The sequence below is a fragment of the Homo sapiens genome, chromosome 4, assembly GCF_000001405.40.
Source record: "Homo sapiens chromosome 4, GRCh38.p14 Primary Assembly".
NCBI classification, from domain to species: Eukaryota; Metazoa; Chordata; class Mammalia; order Primates; family Hominidae; genus Homo; species Homo sapiens.
In genome coordinates, this window is record NC_000004.12 from 47,480,130 (window position 1) to 47,502,775 (window position 22,646).

Below are 22,646 nucleotides of genomic sequence, written 5' to 3' on the forward strand. Positions count from 1 at the left end.
TTTCATGTGCTAGCACTCATGAAAAATGATACCTGTACAGCCTCATGAAGTAAACTAACTGATCTCTGTGGGGCTTGGTATAAAGTTTCATTGTGTTTTCCTTGTATTACAGAATTGTTAAAAACTAAAATTTGAAGTATTGAGAAAAATATTAAACTTTGAGTTCATATACAATATCCTCATAAAACATTTAAAAATTCTTATCTTTTGCTTGCTTCAGTGAACATTTTTTCTTATATGTTTTCTAATTGAGATATAACTTACATACCATAAAAATCACCCCTTTTAAGTGGTTTAATTTCAGAACATTTTCATCACACCAAATAGAAACCCTGTACCCCTTCACAGTCATGCTCCATTCCTCTCTTCCCCCAGCTCCTGGCAACTACTACTCTACTTTCGATCTCTATGGCTTTATCTATTCTGGGAATTTCATAGAAATGGAATCAAACAATATGTAGACTTTTGTGTCTAGCTTCTTTTTGGGTGCATTTTCATATGAGGTTTTATGCTTAAAATGTCTAGTTACAATTTTTGATACTTTATAATGATTCATTCAAATTCTTGATAATTACTCTCAATGAGAAATTCTGTTCACTCAAATATGTGACAAAAGCTTATGAATGACTTTTACAACCATACCAGACTGTGCAATAATTGACATTATACCTAAAGATGCTAATAGTCCTTTTTTTTATTAGTTGAACCACATAAAGCTATCATTTTTATGTCAAAACTGGTTGAATATTGGCAGTCACAATATTCCAACTAATATTTTACTGGGTAATGTAATACTGGAATTCCTTGTGATAATGTGAATGGATTTTGAATCCAGTTCAGTTTTTTATGCCAAGCTTTTATTTGCAGAACATACTGTGAAAATAAAGAATAAAGATATGTGAAAATTAAGACAGCTGCATGGGACCTGGGGTGTCTAGAGCTGTGCTGGCCCAGTCTCCTCGCCAACCCCACTGAACATTCTCTCGGCCACTTGTTGTGCTCTTCGAGAGCCTGGAACACAGGCTTCTTCATCAGATCCATGAGTTTCTTATCCATGGTGGGCTCCAGACACCCCAGGTCCCATGCAGCTGTTGCAGAGGCTGATAGTGTTATCTTGCACTGTACCCATAGCCTGTTGCCTGAGCTCTGATTTGTGAGGAATACAGCACCATAGAAAGAGAAAATAGCTTAAAAGTGAAACTTTTAAGATATTACTTTCTGAAAGTCACTCAGCCAATACCTATTCAGGGAATTGGTCATGGGTCTTATTCCACATTTGATGCAAGATTACATATCATTCCTTAGAAGCTGAATTCCATCTTCTCTCTAGGTAGAACTATCTCCCATCCTTTCACCTCTCCAAAGTTTCCAAACTCCTGCCTTCTCTGGTCACTAGGGGAAATACACATTATCCAGAGAAATGTATACTTCTTTTTCTTAACTACATTTATTCAGAAAAAGCTCTGGTACCTATCTTTGTCTAAATAAGAAACTAATCATCTTTCCTAGACTAAAGGGCCATCATTTCATACAAGGAATTGTGCTACTGTCCTATTACCAGTGTTCTTGATATTATAAACAGAATCAATAAATAGTTGACGGACTTATCCAGAACTCTGGGGCCAGCCTGGATCTCTGCTAATCTGGATTTTCCCTTTCTGATATCCTGTGTAATCATTGCATGTTAAAGGTTTTTACAAGGTTAAAAGCCAATTTGTTCTCCTATGGACGAAAGGGACTCACCTGATACAAAGGGAAGGAAATGTATTTCCTCTTTAAAAAAAAAACGCACACATAAAATTAAGATCTATGTTTACAACTAGTAATAATAATGTAGATATCCTTGTTGTTTCTAGAAATAAAGAATTTCTACTGTCAACAAGGCAGTTATAGTCATAGCATGGTTTTACCCTATCCCAACAAAAATCATTTACTATTCACTTCCCTAATTTATTGAAAGCTGTGCTGCTTAGCCCACAGTAGAGAGCTCCATTAAGAATGTGTGTTCTCAAGCCAGCTCTTTCACCTGCTGTCTTGCCATCTTGGATAAGTTGCTCTAACTCTTTGTGCCTCAGATGTCTCATCTCTAAATGAAGAATGACCTCATAGGGATGATAAGAGGAATACACGAAGTCATAGCTGTAAACTTCTTAGTACAGTGTCTAACAGAAATGGTTCACTAGCACTCAATGAATATTGAGGAAAGAAAAAAAGAGACATAAAATCCTGTGATTATGTTGTTAAAATCAGGGCTCATCTACAAGGGACAAGTTTAATTGCCTGCAGCATTGATCTTCTTCTTCTTCCTCTTCCTCTTCCTCTTCCTCTTCTTCTTCTTCTTCTTCTCCTCCTCCTCCTCCTTCTCCTTCTCCAAAAGTCAGTCAGAAAACTGATCGTGGGAAATGTCCTAATCTGTGCTTGACTCATAACAAGTACAAAGAAAAAGCAGTGGTTGATTATGAATCATAAGAAATCAGCCTGTGTGCCACTTTAGGAAATGTGAAATATTTTGAGGTAAACAAAAGTAAACCACGCTGCTTTACACGTTACATGTTAAAGCAGTAGCCCGAAATAATGAATATGTCTCTCTTTTACATATAACTGTATAACAAATATAATAGGTTCTAGGAAGAACCCTGTTTACTGTTTTAGAAAAATGTTTTCTGATAACTCTGTCTTCTGCTGCCATACTAATAATCCTTGAGTATGTTTAAGAAAGGAAAAAGAGAAGTTAGGAAATTGATAATTATCATTTATTAAGCACCTATTAAGTGTTTTACACAGTGATAAGCACTTCAGCTACCTAACTTCATATAGTCTTAATAACACAGAGGAAGATATTATTAGATCCATTTTACCTACAGAGCTTAGTGTTGGTACCCAAGATCACATATCTAAAAATTTGCAGAGCCAAGATTTAAAACCAGGTCAAACCTAGGCATTTGACTACTGTGCCATATATTTCGCATTGACAATTAATTATGAAGTATTGAGAGTTATTAGTGTTGAGAGTCCAAATAATTTTCTAGCTGGAAAAGATGAAGTTCCCTCACTTCTATATTATACAGTTGAAATATTGGTTTTTTAAAAAACTTCCTGAGAAGTGCAAAAAAGAAAACCTTTCTGAAATTACAAGAAAGTAAGTATCTTTTAAATTAAAAATTACTATATAGATTTAAAGTAGCTAATGTCTTAAATTAAGAATCGTATTTTGTCTTTTTCAAAATAGGAATCACTCTGAGGAGAAAATTGGATATTACAGAAGCATTGCAAAAAGAAAACACCAAACACAACAAAACCTAATAAATTGATAGAAACCCACCTTAATAGTGGTTATTCCAATGACCTTCATGGTATTTATGAGTATTGATTTTTAAAAATTTGATTAGAAATATTTAAATTATCAAAATGATACAAATTTCATTCAAATGACAGACACAAATAGAAAGCTAGTAATCTCCCCTCACTATCCTTCCCTGAGTAAACAATTTTGAGGTGTATCTTCACGTTTTTATATTTATATTAAAATAAACCAATATATAAAGAATATGTATAAGGCTAAGTTGTATTACATAATGTTTTCCATTATTCTACTACTATGCTCTTTAGACTTAAATATAATAGATTTTCTTCTAAGACAATAATTCAAATCTTAGTCAGTGATTCTCAACCCTTGTGCACATTAGAATTTCTAGAGGAGCTTGAAAAAAAGACATTGCCATAGCGCCACCCCCAGAGATTCTGGTTTAATTGGCCTGGGTGGGGCCTTGGCATCAAGCTCCCCGGTTCACTCTGATGTGTAGCTAGTTAGAACCACTGATTTAAGCAATCCAAACAGGCTACATGCCTGAATTGTCCTGGTATGTACGTTCCCAGGAAGGCCCTCTGCTGAGGTAACAACACCAGTGTTTGATTGGGAGAGCTCAGGGGGGCCCAGCTACAGTTTTAAGTCTCCTCTATAAGGTTGACTCTCAGATAGGAAATGTGTTTCATCTTAAAGGATGTTAGAGACAGTCATATGACTGCAAAAAGTGCTACTAGGGCCAGGAATTTCAGAGGCCATGTAAATGACAGTGTATTCTACTAGGCTGGGTTAATTCTGGGGATTAAGTTTGACTAAGTTCTAGAGATTTGTCCTTACCTGCAGATGGAGGCTTCCCTAATGGAGCATCATAGGAAGCCACACCCAGAACTTGTTTCTCCTCGTCTGGCAGAAGCACGTTCTCAGTGGGTGCAGAAACTTGTTTGGCTTCTCTTGGTCTGAGAGAATTTTCAAGCCGACCAACCAGCTCCCTGTGTCTGTACTGGTGAGCTCTTTACTAATAGTCAAACATTTGCATGCTCATTTAGTTTTCTTCACTCTTGTTGCACATCTGAGAAACACTTGAGAGAATGGAAGAGAGAGGCACAATATAGGAGAGCTGTGGAGAGTTTGGCCCCACTTTTTATATTTGTTTCAATGGGATAAAACAGGCAGCCAAGATTATTAGGTTTTGTTCTGAGTTATTGGTTCGGCCTTCACTAAATGGCTTTTCCTCTTTCCAAATTAGACATTTTGAGAAACCAGACAGGTTGTTGAAACTTATTTAGAAGTTTTAAAAAAAGTTGTGAATTTTAAGCAAACGGACCTTGGCAGGTGTATGGACAAAGCCACATTATCCTGAGTAAGGGAACGGAAGGGCAAGGTGTGAGGAAAACGACCAAATCAGAATTGTAATATTTTTCCTCATTTCTTTTCTAGTCATAAAAACAGTAACATTACATATTATTTATTTATTTTGTGGTAGGGTCTCACTCTGTCGCCCAGGCTGGAATGCAGTGGCGCGACATTTTTAGATTTGATCTCTTTTACCCTCCAAAAAATAATTGTCCAGTGTTCCACGTTTAGCTAAAACAGTGAATTGTTAGAATTGCAGCAAAACAATGAACCAAACCGTCAACCGCGAGCAACCTGTACTTGGGAGGTGAAAGTCAGAGGTGAGATTGTAAGGGCTCTGGGTCACTGGGGCATCTGCGCTGGGCAGAAGGGCAGCTCGGTCAAACAGCTGGAGCTGGGAGCCGGTCAGTTGCCAGGCCCTGCCGCTGCTACGTCACGGAGGGCGGGGCGGTGGGCGATTGGCGGTGCACTGCAGCTCGGGCTGCTCTGCAGCCTGGCGGAGACGGGAGGAGGAGCGGAGGGAGAAGTAGGTTGCGAGCTCAGCACAGGCTCCGGCGCTGGCTCCCGCAGCTGAGTTTGGGAGATGTCTAAGTGATTTTTTTTTTTTCCCGGAAGGCAAATGGCTGGCGTGGAAGCACAACCCGCTTTCACTCTTCGAATTTGTGCTTAGCTCTTTTCTTGTACCTTGCGACTCGTGACCAACATGCTGTGATGTGTGCCGAGGGAGGAATTGGTAAGAGTGAGACGGCGAATCCCTCTGACTGTCCCAGCCTTCTGCTTCACCGCCCACCCGCTTTTCCTTTCTGTTTCTCTCTCCTGTTTCTCCCCGCTCCACTTCCCTAGTCGTGTTTAGATTTGATGACATGGCTCAAAACTACAGTTCTGGGCTGTTACTGAACTAAAAAAAAAAAACAACAAAAGATAAAATGATTACACCATTTTCAATCATTTGTTAAAGGGGAATTTAAAAATCTATTTTAAATGCTGGATTTTGTAAAAAGGTAAACTGCACACGCGGGCGCACACGGGCACGTACATACACGCATTCTCACACACCTTTGTACACGCGGGCATACACGGGCACGCACACACACGCATTCACACACACACACACTCCTTTGTCATCCCGTTGTGAAATAAGCAGTTTAAAGAAATTTTGGTTATCTGCCTCAAAGGTGATGAAAAGGGAAGGTGTTGAAGATTTAGCCCAGCAGATTGATTCCTTAAGGTTGATTCCCTAAGGTTGATTCCTTAGGAAGAAAAAGGTGTTTGTATTGGAGCTTTCTCGGAAATAGTTTTCAAAGGAGTGCTACAAAGAAGCCCCCATGCTTCCCCCAAAACACTAACTTTAAAGAACCTAGTTGTTATTCGGGGCACCCTTTATTTTACGTTGTAAAACATGTAGTTTTAATTTACCACGTACAGCAGAGAGACATCAGTTGGTTAGGGAATGGATGGTTATTTTGGTGTCTGGGACCCTGTGCCTTTAGAAAGAATATGTTTTAACTGCTCTTATCATGCTAGCTCAGGTTTTTAAAATGTGATCTGAATAAGACCAAAGTTTCTTCTTGCGTTCTTTTCATGCTGGTTCTAAGCAGGGAGAAAAACAAGTCTGTATGGACAGAGCAAACCTCTAACTCAAAATCAACCTTGAGAGATGCATCAACAAGGACAGGGGCTCCTCATCCACCAATATTTACTTGTATCAGCCTTTAAATCATGTAGGTCACATTTCTGTGAAGAATAGCATCATCGAAAACCCTTGCTGACTTGTGAAGAGCAAAAATCATTGCAACGGAGTAGTTTGTTCAGTGCCCGCAGCAAGAACCTCCCACTCCGATCCACCTCAAAAAGTAATAACTGCTTCTTCTGGACTGTTTTCTATTCTCACTACAAATACGTATCATATACCTACATTGAGATAGTTTATTTTTATTAAAATGAGGTCATTTTATACATTTGGAAAAATAACTTAGCAACATTTTAAAGTTTTAGGGAGTTTAAAAATAACATTTAATTTTCATGCTAATTTAACATTCATTAAATTGCATGAAAAAGAGGGAAAATCTAAGCACTCTAAACTAGGATGTGGGGAGTGTTTGACCCTGGCTTAGCAAAACCTGAATACTTTTCATACTTAGTGACTAAATAGAATTGAATAGGGCCGGGCGCAGTGGCTCATGCCTGTAATCCCAACACTTTGGGAGGCCGAGGCAGGCGGATCACCTGAGGTCAGGAGTTCGAGACCAGCCTGACCAACATGGCGAAACCCGTCTCTACTAAAAATACAAAATTGGCTGGGCGTGGTGGTGCATGCCTGTAATCCCAGCTACTCGGGAGGCTGAGGCAGGAGAATCGCTTGAGCCCGGGAGGCGGAGGTTGCTGTGAGTCGAGATCGGGCCATTGCACTCCAGCCTGGGCAACAAGAGCAAAACTCCGTCCCCCAAAAAAAAAAAAAAAAAAATAGAATCTCATTTATTTTGCTATTGTCAGTAAAACGAAGGGAAATGCTCAAATATGATTATAATTTATAATAGAACAGAGGTGACTCACCTGTCAGACAAATGTACTTCCTATAATTGACTTTTTAAATTAAGGGTTAAAAAAATGTACACATATTCAAGCCTTCATTACATGTTTTCTTTATTGTCTGATATAGTTGGAAGTAGTTCTTCTAATGAAGAAGAATCAAAGAAAATGCTACAAGTAAGATTGTCTGAGAATTCTCACAGAACAATGCACTGATAAATATAAATTTAATAGTGCTTGAAGAAAAGGAGAATTGATTTATCAACTCTAGGAATAAATATATGTGTGCTGGATGCTATCACTATTCCTCGTCAGTTATTCCTTCGATATTTTCTTAGATAAATTTATTTCATTTCAGAAATCATTTTAGCCATAGAAACAATACTTTTTTATCGCTTTGCAGAATAAGGACTAACAGTGATGCTAGTTTTGTAAAAGAGTTGTGGCCTTAATGGAATTTTTTTAATGCTACTCAATAAAAGGTATATCAATACAACTATTTGAGGCAATTACGTGGTATTATGTATTAAAACCTGTGAATGTTGGGCCAGGCACAGTGGCTCATGCTTGTAATCCTAGCACTTTGGGAGGCTGAGGCAGAAAGATCCCTTAAGCTCAAGGGTTCAAGTATCTGCATGGTCCCATTTTGCTCCCATCTCTACAAAAACAAAACAAAACCTGTGAATGTTCATAGCCTTTGACTAAGTGATCTTGGGTCTAAAAATATAGCCTAAGGAAATAATATGAATCGCATATGAAGATTTATAAATGTTTATTACCATCTTATCTGTAATACAAAAAATGGAAACAAAGCCCCAATAACAAAATATTTAAATAAATTAGTGTAGTTTATGTATCTATATTGATAAAACTCAGTTACAAAAGTTTTTTAAAAATTTAATGACTTGGAAATATACTTGCAATGTATTCTGTAAAAAAGTGAAATTTAATATATTATCTTATGTGTAAAATATAATTTTGAAATAAATATATAAAATTCATTTAATCAAAAGTATTTATTAAGCTGTTACTCTAAGACAATGTCCTAAATTAATAAGGATTGAAAAAGATTAATGCAGTTCCTGTTTGCATACAAGTTTCTTTTGCATCAATAGGCATATCCATTAAAATATCATATTTCCCCCACCCCCTAGAAAATGTATTCCTAGGTGGTAAAGTTACAGCTTGATTTTCTTTTTTATATTTTTCCTAATATTCCAAAATCTTTTAAAGCAACTGTTATTTTTATAATGACAAAATACCACTTTCAGAAATATCACCAAGAAATATAATAAGCAAAAAAAAAAAAAAAAAAAAAAGATAAATGGTAAGCTCTGTATTTTACATGCTCCCTTTAAAAAGATACTATAAAAAGCAGTGCGAGATTGCTATGGTCTAAATGTTTGTTCCCTCCCTTTCTGAATTCGTATGTTGATTCCCAATCCCCAGTGTGAGGGTAGTAGGAGGTACAGGCTTTGGAATATGATTAGATTATGAGAAAGGATTCCTCATGAATGGGATTAGTGCCCTCATAAAAGAGGCCACAAAGAGCTGCCTTGCCCCTTCCACCATGGGAGGATGCAGTGAGAAGGTGCCACCTATGAATCAGAAAGTGAGCTCTCACCAGACACAGTATCTGCTGGCGCCTTGATTTTGGACTTCCCAGCCTCTAGAACTTTAGGAAATAACTTTTGATTGTTTACAAATCACCTAGTTTATGGTAATTTGTTATAGCAGCCCAAATGGACTAAGACGGAGACAGATGAATACTGCTATACAAATGATCCCCAATGAGAAATAGATATAAATGAGCAATTCGCAAAAGACAAAAAATTTTAATTGTCTAAGGTTAGGGTAGAGGGGATGTTAACCTCCCAATAATCAAAGAATCCCAGCAGAGCGATAAATTACCACATTTTCACACATCACATTAACAAACGTGGACAACAAATCAAAATGTATCATTTTGTTGGGAAAATTATTCAGTAATATGAGAAAATATTCATGATATGGAAAAATGTTTATGGTATGAGAAGTGGATAAAAGCAAGTTACAAAATGATATCCTAGTTTTGAAAAAAAAATCAACCTATGCACAGAACCCAATTTATTGGTGGGGAATAAACCAAAGATTAATAGTATTTATATTTGGGTGGTAGGATTATAGTTGATTTGTATTTTTCTCATGGTGTTAATATATAGTTCTAAAGTTTCTGCAGTGACTTATATTTTAGTTATCAGAGAAAACAAGTCACTATCCTAATGAAGCAATTAGTCCTAGTATAAAGAGCACATATATGATATTATATATCCCCTCTTTCACAAAGTCCCCCATCTCCCTTATTGTGTGTACTTTTATGTTAGGTATCATTATTTCTGAATTATTTCTCTGATGAGAACATTTGGATTATAAGGGAAATCACAAAACAAAGCTATTCTGCTCACATTCACTGTTTCGCCTCCACCTATTTTCTAAAATAATAAGCATTGTTGAACAGATTTGAGCTTTACTTCCCTTTAATTTCCTGTTGATTTCATTTGCCAGGGCCTACGGCTGATAGGTTTTAATTAAATACTCCTTAATTTCTTTTTCTAAAGTCTGCTTATTCAGCTTAAGGCCTTTTTGAATGAGGAAGATGGGTACTACTACATTCCTCTTAGTAAAACTTACAAGGTTTTAACTCTTTAGGTAGGCTAGGTAATACAAATCATAATTTTCTTGGTTATGAGAAGGAAAGTGAAAATCAATTTTGACCTGTCTCAAAATGTTGTGAAATCTTTTTCTTTGATTTATAGGATTCATAACTACTTAGCCTGTGTTTTTAAACTTTCATTTCCCCTTAATTAGACTATAATAATATAGTTAGAAGGTTTTAGTTAACATTTTAAATTATAACATCTCTTCTTCTTTACTAAATTCTTTCCTAGAGAGATGTCCTCAGATATTTTCTTCACAAATATTCTATTTATCTGTGATGTCCTTTAGCTAGAAATCAACATTTCTGCCTTGCCAAGGTCGAAAAATAATTGCCTGAATCTGAAGCATTATTATACTTTTAAGATCCCTAAGCCAAGGACTAAGAAAAAAGTGAAATGCTTTCAATGGGATATGGAAACTCTGAAAGGTAATTTTTACTTTGAGTCCCAGACTGGCTTTCTGCTCCCAGATTGTCTTACTTCATTTGAATCAGGCTAGTGCATGAGAAGAAGTATGGTGGTCCCAAATGCCTAATTTGTCACATCTTCTTTGCCTGCTTGATTTGGGTCATGGTCAGGATGGATGGGTTGATGATAGGAATATGTGGATATGTAGTATTAGGATGTAGGATTGGTAACGGGCAGAGGACAGGAGTGGAGCCAGCACGGGTGGTATAGGGCAAGTGAAGAACACGAGAGTGTGGCTCATGCCAGATTGTTGTGTTGCCCTTGTCAGCCAGTAGGATTGCTGTTGTCACAGATGTGTGCTCAGAGATGCCTTAGGAAGTCTCTAATGATCCTACTCCTTGTTAGGTAATTGGCAAACTGTCTTGTGAAGCACATTATTCAGGTTTTCCAGATGAGTCGTCCTTCCTTTTCTCCCTTTCAATGTATTGTTCACACTTCTTGCAAATACATCTTTTTTTTTTTCAGTCAGAAGTCTTTTATTTTATTTATTTTGTTAACACCTCTGATGCCATGTGTTCATAGGGAAGAGGTTCCAGCAGCTCAGGTTCCTTCCCATTGGCTCTCACAAAGTGTGCTTCTCTGGGTGGAGCAGGCTGGTGCTTCAGTTGAACCCAGGTACTTTTCTCTTTGGCTTTTTTCTTTTTCTGATCATTTTCCTTCATGCGTTTCAGGAAGGTATCTCGCCTATTAGAGTGCTTAATGTGCTCAATATGCACATTAATTCTCTTGGCAAGAATCTTGCCCTTAACTTGTTTACAACAATGCCAACAGCACGCTGGGGAACTTTGTAGACTCTTCCAGTTTTGCCATGGTAACACTGGTGGGGCATTCCTTTTTGAACAGTACCCATTCCCTTGAAATCTCCAATATCACGTCTCTTATAGATTCACAGGTATGTGGCCAAAGGAACAACTCCATGTTTTCTAAAAGGCCTAGAGAACATGTATGGGGTGCCGCTCCTCTTTCCCTTTGTGTTTGTCATTTTGGCGAATTACTGGAAGATGGTGGTTCTGGCCAAAAGGAAGTGCAAATAAATCTTATAAATGTCTGTATCATATCACAGTCTTCTCAGATATCTTTGGCAATTTCCCATATTCTTCATCTTAGCAAGTCAGGGCTTCAGTTTGGTCCCAACCTAGATTTTCATTTAATTTCGCATCACTTCTTAATTTGTACTTGAAACTGCTGCCATATTGAACTACTCATTGTTACTTAAATAAACAGTCTCCACCCTCCTTGCCTCCTTGCCTTTTCTAAAATCTATAAATCTCTTCTGTCAGGATTCTAAACCAGGCTCACTTATAATACCTTCTTTTCTGGGAAGCCTTTCCTCTTCTTCCTTTCTATCCTCTGACCTCGTACCATGCTTTCTCATAAGACTTTCTGGTTTCCCTAAATTCATATACTGCATGATTATCCTAATTTTATCTTTTTTATTGAACTAAATACTTGACCTGTTCTGGGGCTAGTTTATTCATTCCCAAAGCACTCAGCACCGTGCCTAGGACAAGGTAAAATAAATGTACCTTAGAAAATAAACTCCTAGAAGGCAGATAATTTTGTCCGTTTTGTTCCCTGGTTTATTTCCAGTATCGATAACAATGCCTGGCATATAGTAGGAGTGCCAAAAATATTAGTTGAAAGATTGAAATTACTGAGCACCTTCAGTGTGTTAGGCACAGTGCATTGTTTAATAAATCTCTTTACAAAATTGTGTGAGGTGGTGATATTATTTCCATTTTACAGATTTGGAAACTGATGCTCAGAAAGGCTAAAAGCTTGTGGTAAAGGGACAACTGTGAATCTGTTTGTCAAACTTGTGTTCATTCTGCTAATTGCTATTAGCAATTTGTTGCAGTTTTGAAAATAGCTAATTATATTATCAGTACTTATTCAAATTAAATGTAGTGTGATGTGTAGGTACCATTGAGTAAATTATTGGGATCGGGTATTTATCATGAATCTATTTTATAATTCCAATGAAGACCAACTTGTTTTTCATACCATTTGTAGTTTTGATCTGCCTCTTATTTGTGTTTATATACTATTCTTAGTAATACTTATAGGCCTCAGGTACAGTTTAAATATATGTGTTGAGACAGTTTAAGTAATTGACATGTGTAATCCATGCTTTTATTGCGTTAAGTCATGTGCTGAAGTAATTTTTAGCCACTGTGAAATAATGCTTCTCTATGTAATAATTATATTAATATTAATTCATCCACTAGCTTCCAAAAGAAAATCTTTAATACATTTTCGAAATTAATTAAATCTTTCATCTATCAGACTGAATTTTCCTTTTTATAGTTTAAACAAAATAACTAATGTTACCACCTATCTATCTTCATCACATATCCAGTAATATGCTATATTCTTTAAAGAAAATAACAGAATATAATTCAGAATTTTAGTCTCTAATGTGCTTATTTGCCTCATCTGTATAGCTTGAGCTAATAATCTGTGGGAGACCTTTAGAAAACCTTTGATGTAGTCTATTGATATAATCTTTTGATCTTACAATTTTTCAGGGGCTAAATTCTTTCCATTTCAGCTACAAATAACTCTACTTTCCTATTCATTATTCTTTTTATCTCTTACCATTAATCTTTCTTTTAAGCATGTTATTTTCCTTTGCTTTTTAAAAACTTCTGTAGTTACCCAAACAGAAAATAATTGCCCTATTTCTTGTATATAAGAAAAGTAGTTTCACTGATTATTTAAACAATAATATATACATCATTGGTATGGGAAAGATTAGCTGCATAAAAATCATATTTAATGGTAATGACTTCATGGGGAAAATACACAATCCCTGACTTATGATGGTTCAACTTATGATTTTTCCAGTTTATGATGATGCAAAAGAGATACACATTTAGTAGAAACCATACTTCAATTCCCATACAACCATTCTGTCTTTCGCTTCCAGTATAGTGTTCGATAAAGTACATGAGATATTTAACACTTGATTATAAAGTAGGCTTTGTGTTAGATGACTTTGTCCAACTGTATGCTAATATAAGTGTTCTGAGCACATTTAAAGTAAGCTCAGCTAAGCTGTGATGTTCAGTAGGTTAGTGTATGACATGCACTTTTGACTTATGATATTTTCATTTACCATGGGTTTATGAATGAGCATCTGCATTCATTAATTAAAAATAAGTCCAGAGTAGATTTGAGCTGCCTAGGTCTATGATTTTCAAAGTGTGGCCCCCAGAGTAGGCCCCATCAGTATCACTTGAGCTTGTTAGAATGCAAATTATCAGGCCACTGCAGAGCTACTGAATCAGAGAAACTGGTGTGATTGTGTGCTTGGGTTGGGGAGGGGGCGGCAGGGAGGGCAGAATCTGTGTTTTAACAAGCTCTCTTTGTGATTCTGATCTGTGATAAAGCTGGAGACCACAGGCTTGGAGTAAGATCCTCAGGTGAGCAGGCCAGTATATTCACTGGGTTTGACAGGTAGGTATCTGACTTAAAAGGTCTCTGGGAAAGGGGATTTCATTTACTTTCCTGTATGCTGTTTCAGATACCTCTGTGTTATTACTAAGCTGGCTGCAAAAGTCATTAATTTAATACATGAAACTGAAAACAACAGTCAGAAACACAATGTTCAACACTTAAAAGTTTGTGTTGGATAGGTTTTATGTTATTATTTGCTTCTTGGCAACAGATTCCCTTTAAAAAAACAGAATTAAACTAAACTTTTGTGCAAATGTTTCATAAGGGAAAAAGAGTAAGACTTTTTCCCCCCGGTTCTTTGATCTTGGCTGTATTTGGGGATAATGATTGAAAGAAGCAAATGTGAATCTTATGACTTTCAGTAGAGAGTTTGTGCCTAGGGAATCAAGTTTTCTTAGCGATCCTGCATGCTTTTGAAGTGGTAAGGAACGATACGCCTACTGTGACCATTAAAGTTGTAACTAATTAACTCTGTAAAATTAAAATCCAAGCATAAAAATATTTTCATAGTGCATCTGTAAACAACATAGGCTGTATTCTTTTAATATACTTTGGATATAATAAAGTTAGATTAAGTACCTCATTTATTGCTGGAAATTCTATATCCCAGCTCACTTTATCTTAATGGGCCCATATGATGTTGAATGTGGTCATTTTGGAATGTTGTAGATTGGTCATGTTATGAAGATATTAGAAATAATCAGAAAGAATTTTGAAATAGGCTCTTAATTAGGAATTGAAAATTTTCTTACCTACAAACTTTTATTTTCCCACTGACTTTAATTTTCTAAAGAGCAATGAAGGTGATATTTGAAAAGTATAACTGACTTATTTTTGAGATTTTTGTATTACTTTCACATCAAAAACTCTATATGCCCTACATAAGTATAGGCATAAAAATGTTTTATTGAAACAATTATCTGAGCTTTCTTTCGCAGACTACCATTTAAATTCTATTTTCACAACTAATTTTCAGAAAGAAGAGTCTCCCAAAACTATATTGACATTTAAGTATGCTATTTATTGAAATTTAGCCAGACATTTATAAGGTAACTTTTAGTAATTATCTTTTGGTAAAAACAAGAAACAAAAACCCCAAAACTGAATGCTTTAATTAATTAGCTTTGCAACATTTATAATTACATGTAATGCTTCTTTGCAGGAACACACATATTTGCCTTTATCAAGAAGCTTATACACTAAACTATGTTGAACTTACATGTCAAGAAACTTATATACTAAGTTAAATGTAATTTCTGGTTTAATATTGAGTATAGCATTATTAGTATGTACGCATCTTACCCATGGCCTTATGTGTGACCATTCATTTTCAGTATTGAAGCAGCACGCTTGGCTTGCATTTTATGAAGTTGTGCTTTAAAAAAAAAGGAAAGAAAAAAAAGAGTTAAAGGAATGCACCTCTTTTCCACATCTTAAATGTAAAAGCAATACATTAAGTTCTGTGTATAGGCTTCATGATTATATGAAGTTTCATCAAAATTTAACTTTTTGATTAAAATGAAGTTCTGTTTTCTAATTCCAAAATAAGTATATGTGTTAATGGTAAAAAAAACATGGAGAGTATAAAAACACTGAAAAAATTAAAATCTGCTATTAATAGACTATCCCAAAATAACCACTGTTAATGTTTTTAAAAATATTTTATTTGAAATTCTTCCATGTTTATATATTGTATATATTCATAGTTGAGATTATACTTGTATACAGGTCTAAATCATGCTTTAAAACTTTATAAACTTTAAGCATTTTATGAGTCATTAACAATTCTTTTAAGCAACTTTTTTTTTTTTTTTTTGAAATGCAGTTTCGCTCTTGTTGCTCAGGCTGGAGTGCAATGGTGCAATCTCGGCTCACTGCAACCTCCATCTCCCGTTTTCAAGCAATTCTTCTGCCTCAGCCTCCCCAGCAGCTGGGATTACCGGCATGCGCCACCGCGCCTGGCTAATTTTGTATTTTTAGTAGAGATGGGGTTTCTCCATGTTGGTCAGGCTGGTCGCGAACTCCTGACCTGAGGTGATCTGCCCACCTCGGCCTCCTAAAGTGTTAGAATTACAGGTGTGAGCCACCATGCCCAGCCTAAACATCATTTTTAACAGCTGTCTTATATTTCCATTAGAAATAGATTTAACACAATTAGATATAATGCAGTCAACAATTTCTCTATTTCTCAACATTTGTGTAGTGACTTTCCTTTTTCTTTTTTTTTTTTTTTTTTGAGACGGAGTTTCACTCTTGTGGCCCAGGCTGGAGTGCAATGGCATGATCTCAGCTCACAGAAACCTCCGCCTCCCGGGTTCAAGCCATTCTCCTGCCTCAGCCTCCGGAGTAGCTGGGATTACAGGCATGGGCCACCACGCCCGGCTAATTTTGTATTTTTAGTAGAGATGGTGTTTCTCCATGTTGGTCAGGCTGGTCTTGAACTCCTGACCTCAGGTGATCTGCCTGCCTCAGCCTCCCAAAGTGCTGGGATTACAGGCGTGAGCCACCGCGCCCGGCTGTGTAGTGACTTTCTAAGGCTGAGTTCAGTATATTTCTACTGAGGGCCAGAGAGGACATTTTTAGAGCATATTATCCTATGGGTCTAGAGAAGTAAGACAAGTAAGAGCAGGTTAAAGTCCCCCAAAACTATATGAATGTATGCCTTCATTGAGCATTATGAATAAAGAAACTCTTTGCTACATTCTACATTCAGAGTCAAAAAAATGCTAACTCTGTCTTAAATTCTTTTTTTTAGGTTACTACTGAAGTTGAAAATATTTTTTTCCTATATATTTATAGTATATGGCTTCTGTGTTTGTTCAGGCTTTTTTTCCAACTGTGCTATTCATGTGACTATTAAACCAGAAATGAATAATTTTTAATATTTATCTTATAAGATATTAATTAATTAATTAATTTTTGAGACTGAGTTTCACTCTACTGCCCAGGCTGGAGTGCAGTGGTGTGATCTCGGCTCACTGTAACCTCTGCCTCCTGGGTTCGAGTGATTCTCATGCCTCAGCCTCCTGAGTAGCTGTGATTACAGTTGCCCGCTACCACAACTGGCTAATTTTTGTATTTTTAGTAGAAACGGGTTTCACCACATTGGCCAGGCTTGTCTCAAACTTCTGACCTCAGGCGATCCTCCCACCTCGGCCTCCCGAATTGCTGGGATTACAGGCGTGAGCCACCGCACCTGGCCTATAAGATATTAATTTAAAAAATAGACCATTGTAGCCGGGCATGGTGGCTCATGCCTGTAATCCCAGCACTTTAGGAGGCTGAGGTGGGCAGATTGCCTGAAGTCAGGAGTTCGAGACCAGCCTGACCAACGTGGAGAAATCCCGTCTCTACTAAAAATACAGAATTAGCCGGGCGTGGTGGCATGTGCCTGTAATCCCAGCTACTCAGGAGGCTGAGGCAGGAGAATCGCTTGAACCGGGGAGACCGATGTTGCAGTGAGCTGAGATTGCGCCGTTGCACTCCAGCCTGGACAACAAGAGCGAAACTCCGTCTCAAATAAAAAAAAAAATAGATCATTGTAATAATGGAACTTGTTAGGGTGATACTGAAACAATGGGGCAGAGTCCACAGATTAGCTCAAATAGGCCATGAAAATATTAGGATAAGTACCTATCTGTAGAAGTCTTAGCTTACTTTATAGTTGAATCATACTAGTATATAAAATTCTGGCAAACATAATAATATTGTATTCAAATTGACTTAAATAATTTATGACATTCATAAATAATGACATAGTTTAGGAATTAATAAAAGCCTATCTATATATGCATGAATAAGAAAATGGTAGTGGAGCAAACAGCAGGATTATTGTATGTGAATTGCCACTAACTTGCTGTGTAATCTTGGGTAAGTCATTCTTTCCAAACCTCTGTTTTCTTCTGTGTAAAATGAAGTATTTAGTTGGATATTAACATTCTTTCTGGCTTTAACATTCTGAGTTTTTTGTTTAAGCTGTTAAGCATCTTTAAAATGCTTTTCCTACTTTGAAGAAATGTTGGCATCAAACAATTCATATGTATTCTTATAAAAGCAAGAATAGCTACCATTTGTTAATCTATTATATGTCAGATGTCTTACGTACATTCCCATTAACTCCTCACAACAACCCTACAGAGCAGATGATATCATTGCCATTTTCCTCATTGGAAAACTGAGGGTCATAAGAAGTCCCACTAGGGCTGAGTGGGAGAGCCAGAATTTGAACCCATGACTCGGAAATACTCTGTTCTTTCCACTGTGCTACTTACCTCTCTCTTGGACAAATGTGATGGCTTCTTTTAACCCAGAGTTTCTCAGCAGCAGCATTTCTTGACATTTGGGACTAGATAATTATTTGTTGTGAAGGATTGTCCTGTGTATTGCTGCATATTTAACAGTATCTCTGGCTTCTTTCCACAACCAAAAATATCTCCAGATATTAGCAAATGTCCTAGGGGGCTGGAAGGGGAGGTACAATTGGCCCCATTTGAGGACCACTGCTCTAATACAACTTAAGTCATCAGTAGTATGAGGACAAACATAGTTACTTTCTCCAGCAAAATCTTTAGGCCATTTTAAGGGTCAAGATGGAATTAACCAAGTATATCTCCAGCAAAGGAACCTACCTACTTCTTCATGCAATAATACTTATTATACATTGATTGTCCCTTATTCTCTTAAGATGCATCCCATTTGAAGAGCATTTGTTGGGATGCATGGTATAGCAACAAGAACCTGATTAATGTTTGTTAATTCACTGAAAAGTATTCGTTGAGGGCATGTTATATGCCAGGCATTGTCCAGTTATTGGTTAAAACAGTAAACAAGATGGCCTTGTAGGAGAAACAGGTATTAAATCATTTTAGCTCATTCTCCTTTATCTTCCTAATAATCTTGTAAAGATTCTGTTTAGAACCACAATCCAGTGTGTTTATCATGTTTTACATACATACACAACTTATCACATGAAGCTGGAGTTTGCCTTCCTTAGTGTGAATGAGTAAAGATCACACACTGGGAAATTTGTGTTCTTCTGCCAGTTCAAATATATATTTTGGCTCTGGTTTTTAAATGAGCACGTATCTGTGTGCTAGCTTCATTTTGAAACTTAACTGTTTATCTCTCGGTTAGTCTTTTAACGCTCTTACCATTTTGTGGTCTGAAGCTTGGCCACATACATATCAAAGTTTGTCTTATGGGAATTAATCTCTGAAGTATTTCAGGTAATGAGGGAATCTCATGAGGTTCGTGCCTGATCCGTTTACTAGACTCTGTACTTCTGGAGGACAGAAACCATGGAGTTCACATAGGAATTCCCATCACGTTGGTTTCAATGCCTGGAAAAGTACCTGGTTGGCAATGGTAGCCTTTCAGTACCTATTTTCTAACAAATATAAGGAAAAGAAATCTCTAAATAGTGAAAATAGATTTCACTAAATAAATCTTGCTGAATTTTTATCTTCTACTTCCTGAAGACCACTGGGGTCATTTATTTACATTTCTTAATTATTGTAAGGTAGTTGGAAGTAAAACTTAAATCTTCATAAAGACAGATTTGGACAGCTGATGGGGAAAAAAGCCTGTAAAATTATTCAAAACAAGGAGATTTTCAAGTACTGGAAGAAAACCTTATGGAAATGCTTTGAAGACCCTGAAGGCATCACTATAAAGAATACGCTTGTGCTCAGAGCATTGGTGCTGAATTCTCAGAGAAGAAAATTTATTTAAAATGCTGTGTCAAATATAGGAAAATTGGGTACACATTGTATAATGATTTCTATCCTGGATGAAATTGTTTTGATACTTTAAAGGATAAACCTTAAACTGTCTTTAAAAAGGTTACTCAGAATAACTTCCTCTTGGAGAGTTTTAGAACGATAAAATTTAAATACTTCAGCTGTTTCTAAAAATAAGTCCTATTTGTTTTATTTCCTTTTTTATGTCTTCCTGTTGCAGAGTTTCGTTAGTGTCCATTTTAGGACTACATGCTCTAGATCTTAATGTGAACTGTAATAACTTCAGCATGCATAATAAGAGCTGTAGTGAGCTACATACCATGAAATGCCTGTTATTATATCACATTTAGAGGCAGTGTGTATAAGATTGTTAAAGATATTCTAGTCTTTGCTGCATATAAGAGGGGTGTTATTTTACTCATTCATTCTTGGGTTCATTCCACAAATATTCATTGAAAATCTACTCATTGCCTGATATTATACTCTTCTAGGCCTAGGCCATATCAGTGAACCAAAAAGACAGAAATTTCTACGCTGATGGAGGAGGGAGACAGACAAAAGCTAAAATACCAAAGTAAATTATGCATTGTTAGAAAGTGACATAAAGGTTTTATGAAAAGTAAAGCAGAAAAGGAGAATAACAAGAGGCAGATCATATGGAGCACTGGAGGTGGCTACTGTAATTATATGGGAGCCTTTAGAGAGTTTTAAGTTGTGAAATTGTCAGGATCTAAATTAGGTTATACCAGGACTAGACTGATAATGGTGGATCAGGTTGATTGTAATAAAGGTGATGAGAAGTGGTAAGATTCTGGATATAGTTTAAGGGAAGAGTCAACAGAATTTGCGGACTGACATGATGTGAGTTGTAAGTGAAAGAAACCAAGGATGACTCAAAAGTTTTTGGGCTGAGCATCTAGAAGAAGGGAGCTGCCATTAGCTGACAGGGCTAATATAGGGGAGAAGCAGTTTAGGGGAGAGTGCTTGGACCTCCATTTGCACTTGTTACTGTCTGGAGATGGGCTGCCTTTTGGGCATCAGTCTGGAGTTTTGGAAAGAGGTCTATGCTAGGGGAACTTGTGGAAGTTCTCTTTGGATAGCTTTGGTATTCTCAGAAAAATAGAAACAAGGTCATCACCAGGAAGAAAGTCAGGAGGGAGATATTGGATGTAAAGAGGAGAAAGGAAAGGGTATGAAACAGTTGTGTATGAGAGTGGGAGAATACATGGCGTGGAAATGCAGTATGATTGCAGGCAGTGTGAATGGCCAACTTAAGAGTTTGCGGTCAGGACGTTAAAGTGACTCTGACAAGGTGTTGTGCATTTCTTTCCAGCCACTTTCAACCTGTAGGTACTGGAACAGAGTACATAGAGCTTTACATGTGAATGTAAGCAGGGTGAGGGTTTTGCCAAGAAGTGAGAGAGGAGTTCACTGGTTGAGAGAATATACAAGGAAGTGATTACAGTATTAACCATAAAATTTGAAGTAAGTAAGGAAATAAGACCACTTGAGAATATGGGGCAGTGAAAAGATGGTTGGTGGTTGTTTATGGGTAGGATCAGTGATATTGGAGTTGGGTTAAAAGTGAGTCATTTATTTGAAAGTAAATTTTATTTGCATGTATTGAATTATAGTTCAAACACATATAAAGTCCTCTATAAGGCACAGTAAGCAGTAAAAATGGGTAACCTCACCTAGTACAAAATGAATGTTTTAAAAGTAAATAAATGCAAATATTTAAATTTATTTAACTTTATTTTTTCAAATGAAGCATGCCTTTAGCGTTTTTCTCTGAATAACTTAACTTTAATTTTTTAATACCACTCTTCTCCTATTCTCTCTCCCAACCCTCACATTCCTTGATGGGTTGCCAGAGCTATATGCCTTCTGCCAGCTCTTATTCAAGTGTTACTGCCCTGTATCAGAGCCCTCTGATAGCCACCAAGGCTCTCATTCCATATGAGATATCTGGATTAAGCTTAAGTAACTACTTACTAAGCTGTGCCACTTGGGTGAGTTTCTCACTCTGTTTCCTCATTACTAAGTGGAGATAATAATATGTACTTTATTGTAAGGATTAAAGTTTATGAATGCATTTTTATCCTTTGCATATAACCTGTTATATGTCTATAAATGGTAGATATTGTTATGATCTTAGGTCTATTAAATTAATAATATTTGTTAATGTTGAATAACCAAATCTCAAAAAATGCTATCTTGTCATTTCAATAACGTATTATTTTAGAAGCATGTAGGATCACTAAGGTCAAAACACAGTATTGCTGCCATCAATATTTTCATATATGTTTATGCTTTTTTCAGCTTTAAAAAGAGATTAAGACATATTAGGAACTCACCATAAATGAGTAAGATTTCTTTTAGTTCCCAATAACATAGAGAAACACATATACAACTGCAACATTTTACCTGCCTTTTGCTAGCCTAAACCAGCTTTGAGCCTAATTATTCATAAACAGTGAATAATTGGACATGTGATCCCTTCAAAAAGAAATCTGGACTGGGCGCGGTGGTTTGTGCCTGTAATCCCAACACTTTGGGAGGCCGAGGCGGGCGGATCACGAGGTCAGATCGAGACCATCCTGGCTAACACGGTGAAACCCCGTCTCTACTAAAAATGCAAGAAATTAGCTGGGCGTGGTGGCGGGCGCCTGTAGTTCCAGCTACTCGGGGGCTGAGGCAGGAGAATGGCGTGAACCCAGGAGGCAGAGCTTGCAGTGAGCCGAGATAGCGCCACTGCACTCCAGCCTGGGCGTTAGAGTGAGACTACGTCTCATAAAAAAAAAAAAATCTGAAGTGTATTGAAGAAGAGAAGCATTATCGCTTTCAATGTCTGAATGGACCATCCATAAAATATATATATATTTGATAATATATATATGATTATATGTTTTTAATTATACATGTTTTTCTTTTATATACGATATACATATACGTATGTATATAATATATGTATGTATGTAATATTACACATATAAATATATATTAAATATACATATATGTATGTGATATTATATATAAATATATAAAAGCTTTATTCTCACGAGAGAACTGAAGAAATTCTTACTGAGTGCGTGCTTG

At 36.6% G+C, this 22,646-nt stretch overlaps 1 protein-coding gene and 1 pseudogene across 1 annotated transcript in view, besides 3 other annotated features; one reads left to right on the top strand and one right to left on the bottom strand.

The window, feature by feature from the left end:
* Positions 4,983 to 5,277: an enhancer, noted in NCBI's record as "tiled region #5912; HepG2 Activating DNase unmatched - State 1:Tss". NCBI's record gives its function as "activates a minimal TATA promoter and a strong SV40 promoter by Sharpr-MPRA in HepG2 cells {active_cell/tissue: HepG2}" and the evidence as "EXISTENCE:reporter gene assay evidence [ECO:0000049][PMID:27701403]".
* Positions 4,983 to 5,318: a biological region, named in NCBI's record as "Sharpr-MPRA regulatory region 5912".
* The window catches only part of ATP10D (ATPase phospholipid transporting 10D (putative)), a 108,212-nt gene continuing 90,711 nt past the window's right edge, over positions 5,146 to 22,646 (top strand). Inside the window, exon 1 of the mRNA NM_020453.4 lies at positions 5,146 to 5,390. The gene's annotated coding sequence lies outside the window, so the exon portion shown is untranslated. The remainder of the gene's footprint in view (positions 5,391 to 22,646) is intronic.
* Positions 5,249 to 5,318: an enhancer, noted in NCBI's record as "active region_21531". NCBI's record gives its function as "activates an Ori minimal core promoter by ATAC-STARR-seq in GM12878 lymphoblastoid cells {active_cell/tissue: GM12878}" and the evidence as "EXISTENCE:reporter gene assay evidence [ECO:0000049][PMID:35858748]".
* Positions 10,817 to 11,374, bottom strand: RPL21P52 (ribosomal protein L21 pseudogene 52; annotated as a pseudogene).